We start from the raw sequence: 9,224 nt of genomic DNA, 5'->3' as shown, positions 1-9,224 counted from the left end.
GCAGTTTTTTTTAACCATTTGTGATTAGTGTTATGCATTTTTCATAATGGTAGGCCAATATTTTACTCTAATGAACAATCTAGTGTTTCTTTTTTTTAAGTTATAGCAACGATGTAAGCTTTGAAGCCTGGATTGTAACATAACCACATTTTACTTAACCAGTGGAGCTAGTTTGTCCCAATTTAACACTTTTATAATGCCAAGTTAAAATTGAACCCTTGGGCTTCCTAGTCATTATTATTGAAGCAGAAATACATTTTTGCTTCTTTTGTCATCTTTAATCCCCAACATGACAAAATAAAATATTTTGACTTGTTGACTTGCATACTCATCTTTGCCAACAAATGTAACTCGTGGCCTTCAATGCCTTCTTCCTCTTTCTTTTCACTTTTGTAGCCATTAACCAAACTTATTCCTTCAGTAAGAAACTTAATCCTTGGAACCTTGCTTTCTTTGGTTCTATTCCACAAAGGATCAAAAGCATAATTTTCCTCAAACACTACAATAATTATTTTCTTCCTTTACTTATGAACAGTTGGTAACTTTCTATGGCCGGTTATGTCACTTTTTATCCTAAGAGTTAATATTCTCCCTTCCTCTGACTCTTTCTCTTTTAGCAATCTTATTTTCTCCTGCTCTTCGGCAGTCTCTGCTACTTCCAAGCCATCTGGTTGTTATTGGCACATGGGATTTGCTTTTAACTTCTTTCCTGCCCATGCAGATGTCACCTTTGAATTACTGGGAGCCCACTGTTTCCTGAGTCAGTCCATTTCATCTTTGGATAAGTCCATTAAGGAGTTTTTCTCTTTGTTACATAAACCATATAAATCAACTATATAATTTTTACATTTATCTTTGTGTGTGTTACGCAAAGACCTAAGGAGGTCTTTTTCTTAGTTGTTTTGCATATGTGTGCTATGTCTACATATGTGGTGCTTTGTTTAACCTGCAGGCAAGGATCTTTGCATCAGGCACTTCTGCATTTCCATACCATGATCCATCCTCCTACAACTCCAGACCCACAACAGTATAAGCTCTAACTTTTGGCATAGTACATGTTTAATGGATGTTTGATGTGTAGGATACCTTCTAAATGCAGAACTATTTATATGTAAAAGTATATATATTTATACTTATGAAAGGATAATAAAATCTTTAGGAAATGATTCTGTGAATTTTAATTGTAAAGCTAGAATACAAGTCTGATCATGTGCATACTCACTGCCCCCACACAGTAAAATGCCTAAACATTTCCAATTGTTTAACTAAGAAAACATTACATGTTGTATATGTATCTATAATTGGTTAACAGAGAAGATGTTACATGTTATATATCTATCTAAACCTAAGTGGCTTGGTTTTCTCTATGTGTAATGTGCTATTATTTTCTATATCATAGATTTAGTTCTACCTGTGAAATTTCATATAATGCAGAAAAAATATTGATAGTTTTGCCTGTATTTTTCAATGTGAATATGAAAAAATACCTTGGCATTGTTAATCCAAAAATACATTTATAGTTTTCAAATAGTCTATCTAGCAGAACACTTATTAGTATCTCTAAATTATTAACATCGCTGAATATTCTTGCATTTTAAACTATTTCAAAAATTATTTCCATAACAATTTTAATTGAATCTCCTGTGATGCTATTTTGGTAATTGTAATCAGCAGTATCTTACAATTAGATTTTAATCAAAACCTTTAATGCTATAATGTGTAATCTGAGAGAAGACAGTTATATATCTATGTGGGCTTCTTCTCCTGACCTCCCTCTACTCCATCCAAGAGATGCTATAACCAATGTGAAAACAGATCATGGAGAGCAGAGGTTGCTTTCCATTTGTCCCAAGTAATGTGGAAAATATCCAGGGGTAGCAAGATAGGGTCATGATCAGTTAAAGTCTGGTATAAAGATAAACCTGGTGATGGACTTCTCACTAAGGCTCTTTACTTCCTGTGTGATCAATAAACACTGACTGACTTATAGGACAGTTGCTTAGGGTTAGGAGTGCACCTCCTGGTTATGCAGGAGATTGAAACTGGGGGCACAACTGGCTTGGGGTAAGGGGGGTGTGGCACAGGTGTGGGGGAAGAGTGGGGAGGGCTCGCCTACAGCCCACATTACTCTATTGTGCTGCTTTGCAGGTTCTGAATTATCAGCAGTGAATTATTCTTTTTCAGCTTTTATTATTACTAGATTTCTTTAAAGCCCACTTTTATGTCTGCCCATTAATCATTTATGTAATTTTAGAAGGCAATAATGCATGAGGCACAGAGCTAATTATGCATTCTATTATGTCGTTAGATATCTGGATGAAAGTCATGTTCCAAGACTCAATCCCTTCCCTAAAACTCATTTCCACAAGTGAAGATTTAATGATCTATTTATTTTAAAGGTTTGCCTTTGGGGACAAAGATTATCCTGGTTAGCTCCACTTGAAAGAATAGACTTTTATTTCATGGAATCTGTAAGCGTTTAGAAAAATCACTGTGGACTTTGAAAATATATTTAATACAAAACGTGTTGAAACCCATGCTTTGGCTATCCCTAGGTAGAAATGATCCTCTTTATACCTATGCAGATTATGAGAGCCATAATGTCCTCAGTTCTCATATTCCATTGAGTAAACACAGAACTAGCAAGCTGTGGAAGCAGTGTGTATGAGGGCAAATTGTAGCTTTGTTTTTTAATTCTACAGTCAGTATGTGTGAAAAAAAGGATGATTTTTAAATGATAACAATTCTTAAATGTGATAATTGCTAATGAATTTACTCTGATCAGTTTTGTTCTTTTACCATTCATAGCTAATTTATCACATTACATATAACCAGGAATGCAAACACTAGCCTCATGTATACCTCTCAGTTTGATCTCTTAGTTTTTCTTTTACTCTTCAGGTATGAAAAACCTCATTCTTCAGTAATTACATCCACAGCTCCTAGGTATATGTCATATATTTGATTATGAAGAGATATTTTCCTCTGCTTCTAACAGCAGAGTGCAGTATTTTGCAAGGAGAGTTGTCTTTGTGATTTAGCATATATTCATTTCTGTTCTACTGTGCTTTTTGTGTGCTTAGAATATAGTTCGATCAAAATGTGTGCAAAAACTTTTCCACTCTAAACTACATGAATATTTTCTAAAACTTAAGTCAAAAATAAGACCGCAACTGAGTTCTGGCTTTAGTGACAACGAAGGCAAAATGGATTTTAGGTGGGCAAGGACTGTCTCCTAGATGTCAGTGTCCATTCCGGAGCCACATTTTTGGCAGAAGATTTCCTTGTTCTGGGTCAGGAAGCCTTTACCCACCAAGGAGACAGAGCATTTCCCGCAGTTAAAGCATTCGCTATGCCACTGGCTGTCTTGAAAGCAGATAAACTTGGCACCTGTGAGACCTGTAAAGGAATTGGAGAAAAAGATTAATCTATCCTTTCAAGGAACAGATTGAGCATTCTAGCAGATGCTCCTCTAGGAACTGGAGATAGAGCTATGAGCAAAACAACGCAGAGGCAAATAACCCAAAAAAGAATGCTGCTTCCTGGCCCTGTGTCCATCTGGAACTATCCACTGTAGGAAAGTTACACCTATGCCACCCAACCAGATTCACAGCCAAATTCTGCCATAATCAACAGAAGAAGGCAGAATGCTAATATGCAAGTCAGGTATTTTTGGAAACAGATAAGGTTGTCTAAGCCAGATAAGACAATACAGTGTAGCATAGTGGAAAGAAGGTATAGGTTGTGAAGTCAGAGATATCTAAGTATGAATACATTTCCCCTTTTTCTCTATATGACTTTAAGTTTTCTTAGCTGCAAAATGAAGATAAAAGGAAATAAATGTATGCTTCCTAGTTTGATGTCCAATGTTGTAATGAGTTTTAGTTTTCTTCTTTCCCCTCATTTTTCTGTGCTTAGTTGTACTTAGAATATGTCCTGGGGTTATACGGTTTGGGACACTATTTCTAGAAAGCATAACCAAATAGAGGATTTTGTCTAATCATTCAGCCATCCTAACGTGATGGCCTTATTACCTTGCTCAGAGCCAGCTTCAGCTTTTGTTGAATCTGGCCAATGAAGCCACGTTATCACGTGATTGGTTTCTAAGAGCTTTGTCAGCCTCCTCCACTTTAACTTGGGCCTCACTTGAACCATACTGTTTCTTTAAAAAGTAGTCGAATTTGAATCTTCGGTGAGGGTCTGATCTCTGTCTCCTTAATGTGATTCCAGGGTATAGTTCAAGAAATTGATTTTGAGAAGTTACATTAAAGGAGAAAATGTTAGGGTTTGGGAAGAGGTTGAGATGCCCTAGGCTTGGGTCTTTATTTATTTCATGTTTTCTCCCAGTAATCTTAGTGCTATTATTTGCTTATCATCCATGGAGTGAGGCTAAAAGAGTTATGTAATTCATATGTAATTTCCAAATACTCCATTTGGAATGGTGAAGTGAAAGGGTGAATAGCATTCTATTTCAGATACATTCTTCTTAAATAGGATAATGAACTTTTGTTTCCATCCTAACAAACTTATTTGATGTCTTCATATATAATTTAGTAGTTCATACAGAAAATTGCATCAAATTTCTCTACTTTCCTTGATTAAATTTATAGCTTGCTTATCTATGATGCTATCAACATTACTTCCTAATAAATGTAAATTAATTATGTACTACTTAATTCCCTTAATGTTATTCAAAACATTAATAAGCTGACTGCAAGAGTAATGTTCTGTATATACATAAATTATGCTGTTCATAAAACTAATTATTACATGTCTAGCATTTTGATGCTCATGAGTTTTTCTTAATTTTATTAGTAAGCCTTGTACAAGTGGCAAATATAAAAGCAATTCTTCCGGAATTTTACAAATAAGAAAAAGTAGAAGCATCTGGCAACTTTAAGAAAGGGCTGAACCAACATGTGAGATGTATGTAAACTGTTCCAAAAGGAATATGTTTACTCCCTTAGGTCATGAGGGTTGTTTGCAGTAAGAAAGCCATTCATGAAGCAGGTCTTTGACACCTGTGTTATCTGGTTTCATAGGTTTCTGACAAGTCAGTAGAATAAGAGCTGGCATTTGTTGAGTGCTTGACTGTGTGCCAATTACTATTCTAAGTCCTTTATGTGTGTTACCGTATACAGCCCTCACCTTACCTTCATGGGGTCAGATATTAGCATCAGCCCCACTTTGCAGACAAAAACTGAGAAGTGAGAAGTTTAACCGCTTGCCCCAGGTCACCCAGCTAGTAAGCAGCAGATCTAAGATTTAAGCACAGGCCAGGGCCATCTGTCTTTAGAGTCTCTGCTTTTAACCTCATGAAACTAAGTTTGAGTTTATCTTTGGTAAAGAATATGATCAGGAACATCAGCATCACTCTCTGAAGAAGCCACAACATTTGAAATTCCTTTTCCTTGAAATAAACAGAGATGGAAGAAAGCCAACCTGCTCAACTGCTTGTTTTATAAATAAGGCAAATGAAGGCCCCCCACCCCTGAGGTGAGTTAGTCACCCATGGTGACACAGCAGTGGGGGCAGGGAGGACCAAGTCTTTTGCTCCTCAGTCCAGAGCACCTTTCACTGCATCAAGCAGCTTCATTTATCCCTGATAGTTTAAGAGGTTAATCCTATCTCAAAGGAGGAGAAAATATGGTAGCTATATCTGGAGTTTGTTCAAATGAAGCAGTTCAATGTGATGGGTTTTAAAAATTACACTTGGTGATTTATGGGTAGATTTCTCAGAGCTTTTTAAAAAAATAATTGATTAATCTTAATTGACAAATAAAAATTGTACATATATTATATAACATGTTTTTGTATATGTATGCATTGTGGAATGGCTAAATCAAGGCAATTAACATATCTATTACCTTATCATATGCTTTTTTGTGTGTGTGGTGAGAACATTTAAAAATCTATTCTCTTAGCAATTTTCAAGTATATAATACATAGTTGTTAACTATAGTCACTATGTTGTACAATAGATCTTGAAATTATTTCCCCTGTTTAACTGAAATTGTGTATCCTTTGACCAAGAATACCTAGCTTTTAAAGTGACATAATAATCAGATTAATGCCAATTTTCCGAAGACGTGTGACAATATCAGAATTCCCAATGGTACATCAGTTCAAATAGCTCAATTTTAAAGAAGCAGTACTTCAGGGCCTATAGATATTTAACAATTAGATGAAGAAATAGTAAAGTGAGTTGTAAGTTTTTGCAGGCATTTCAGCCTCTGGTGTCTCAATCACAAAGTTAAAAAAAAGATTAAGATAGTTATTAGACATTTCCTGTGGACTGATGAGTCTAAATTAAATATATAATATTTAGATTACTTTTGGGTAAAATTTAGATTACTTTTGGGTCAGATTATTTACTTTTGATCATCCTCATGTTTTTGTGCAGAACAACGTTGTTTTTCCATCTCAACTTTAAAAAGCTGGGCCCAGTGATTGATCTGGAACAATCTATGAAAAAAATCACTTAGGCACATGAATCTGTGATATACCAGAATTGAAACTCAAGTTCAGGGCTTGTGTAGGCTTTTTGCAGATCAGTATTAGCCATCTGGATCTCCAGAGAATTTTGAAACTTATTTTGAGTTGTTAATTTCCTTATTTTCTCATTGAAGTCCCCTTTTTTTTTCTGTCCCAATTCAAGATAAGTGTTGTTATAAAATAAATGGACTGTGATTGCAGATTTTACTTGGGAGATTCTGGAGCTCCAGGTATTGTTGGATATCTGAAAGTCCCATTTTCTAACTAAAATCAGTGGAGATCTCTTGGCTATAGGAATTGTCAAATTTGTAGAAGGCAGGAGAGCAGGGTAATTAAAAGCATGGACCCTGGAGCCGAGTGGTGTGGGATTGCTAAGGCAAGTTCTTGCAAGGGCCAGGGAGGTGATCTAGCTGAGTGATGCAGACAGGGTGCAAGGGACAGAGAGGGCATGCCCCATGCAATTGGACAGCCACGAGTTCCATATGATGGTGACCCTGCTGGGGAATGTGGAGGCAGTCTGCTCACCCAATGGCAGGCTCTTCCTCTACTTTTAGCTGCAGAGATGGATTTTACATTAGTTATTTCCAAACATGTTCAGGCCAAACATCAACAGCCTGCTTGCCAGATGTAGCCCGTGAGCCAGTGTGAGATCCTGACACAGATGGTGCTCCATATAGACAAATAAGACCATGCTGTTTTTTTCTGGTGACACCCTCCCTCCCTTTGCAAGTCAGTGAAAGCCTGCCAAGGTGGGGTTTGCTGTGAAACTTTTTCTTTTGGTTGGAAAGTGCATGAAGACTCAACTTTTATTTTGCCACATATTTGAAGATGAAGAAGGAGGAAAGGGATAAAATGATCTTTAATTCTATGGTATATGAACAACTAAAAATTGAAATATGTTCTAAGAATACTAGGAATAGAAAGTAGATATACAGTTCTGACACATTATTAAGTGATTATAAATTGCCAGAAAGAATAGCTGCTGAGTTTCTCAAGTGTCATGCTAGTTTCAGTTCCTTTATTATAGGATTAGCATTTTAAAAGTGTCTCTGAGGAAAAGATGTATTTCTTTTTACCTTGAAAACCTCTTTAACATGGATTGATTTATCATTATGTTATTTTCAAATCATGTCACATTTTTTTTTCAGTAAAATGCTATCTTGTTTTCTTTCATCTACTCATAAACACACTTCATAATTGCAAGTGAATAGAGAAAAGAGAGTAATACATTTGTTAGAAGCATCTTAAAATGAAGTTTAATTAATTACTGACCTATGCTACCTTAATTATTACAGCTTCAGATGTTCTATACAATAGTGGAATTTAATTAAAACCTTCCTAACTAAAGGATGCTTGGTCCTATTTTAGAATTAAGCAGGATTTTGATTTATTAGTACTCTTCTCCTCCCACTCAAAACTTAATGAGGCTGCAAGCAGATCTCCTCGTGAAGGCCTGCACTAACCTCTCAGCTCATCCTGTTCTCCTCCTTCCTTGAATGTTAGAGTCAGTACCATTAGGTTTAGTATGTAGTTACCTTCACAGAGTATAGTCACCCAAATTATACTCTTGTACTTTCCTTGAGGAATCCATGTAATATTTATACTCATATATATGCACCCACTTGTGTTTATCTCAAAAGGAAATATAAAGGAAAGCTTCCCATTTTTTAATTGCTTTTCCTAAATTAACTAGATAGTGTTTCATAAAGTCATAACTGTCTCATGGCATGATCATATTGAACTGAAGAACTCACCACTAATGGGTTTGGAACAGGCTACACACTTGTTGGCATAAAGATGGTTGTAGCAGTCCACGCAGAATGGATAGTCGTCTCTGGACATGAACTGTTCTTCACAGAGATCTTTCCTACAGCCACTACACAGAAAACACTCTTTATGCCATAGCTGGTCACAAAATGTTATCCCACCTGAAGTTATCACCTGCCAAAGACCACAGAAAAGGCAATGACCATGGGAGCCATTACAATTCAGATCATTTCATGATTCTTTTGAGATCCTAGTATCTCTGGGGAGAAAAGGAAGCAAAAAGAAAAAAAAAAGATCATTTCATGTCTTCTATGCCACAACTGGTGCTTTTGGCTACTCTATTTTCACCTTATGTTAGGATGTTCTTTTCCTCAAAAAGTCATTAAAAATTAATAATATGAGAAGCCAAAGGCTATAGGAATTAATTAGAAGTAGAAAGAAATGGAAATTATTGTATATTTTTCTCCTACAATGAAATAGAACAGAGGCAGGGCCATATTGGACTCAGGAAGATGGGGGAGAAAAACCACACAGGTTCTTTTTTCACTTCCTCATACTTCTCTGAATTTTCTTAATTTTGGTTTTTAAAGATCTGCCGTTAGAGCTATTTTCTATACTATGTTCTTATAACTACCTGTCTAACTTTAGGGATGCTTAAAAGAATTCTTCTTTTTCCTGAATGCTTTACACCAGGTCCAAGAATATCCAACAGCAGTAATTCTGAATGGAATTGGTAAGCACCATTATTTGCTAATAACAACTACCATTTCTTAAGTGTTTTTTCAGTCCTTACCACCGTGCTAAGGATGATCTCTTCTGAATATTCTCAACACCTCTACATACTACAGACTATTATCTTTCCCTCTTTTCAGATGAGCAACTAGTGAGGGTTACAGTCATTAAGTTACTTGCCATGGCCATAGTGAGCTAGGATTCAAACCTGCATGGTCTGATTCCACAGC

General features: G+C 36.0%; 1 protein-coding gene across 5 annotated transcripts in view; it reads right to left on the bottom strand.

The window, feature by feature from the left end:
• Positions 1–381: 381 nt before the first annotated feature.
• Positions 382–9,224, bottom strand: part of FHL5 (four and a half LIM domains 5) — a 56,053-nt gene continuing 47,210 nt past the window's right edge. For all 5 annotated transcript variants that reach the window (NM_020482.6, XM_047419567.1, NM_001170807.3 and 2 more), the window contains 2 exons: positions 8,250–8,436; positions 382–3,399 (listed from right to left, as the gene is read on the bottom strand). In NM_020482.6, the coding sequence (NP_065228.4) occupies positions 3,236–3,399; positions 8,250–8,436 (351 nt within the window). In that variant the 3' untranslated portion in view covers positions 382–3,235. The remainder of the gene's footprint in view (positions 3,400–8,249; positions 8,437–9,224) is intronic.

Source organism: Homo sapiens, chromosome 6, assembly GCF_000001405.40.
Source record: "Homo sapiens chromosome 6, GRCh38.p14 Primary Assembly".
Lineage (NCBI taxonomy): Eukaryota > Metazoa > Chordata > Mammalia > Primates > Hominidae > Homo > Homo sapiens.
Note: the sequence above shows the minus strand (reverse complement) of the source record. Positions and strands in the feature narration are given on the sequence as shown.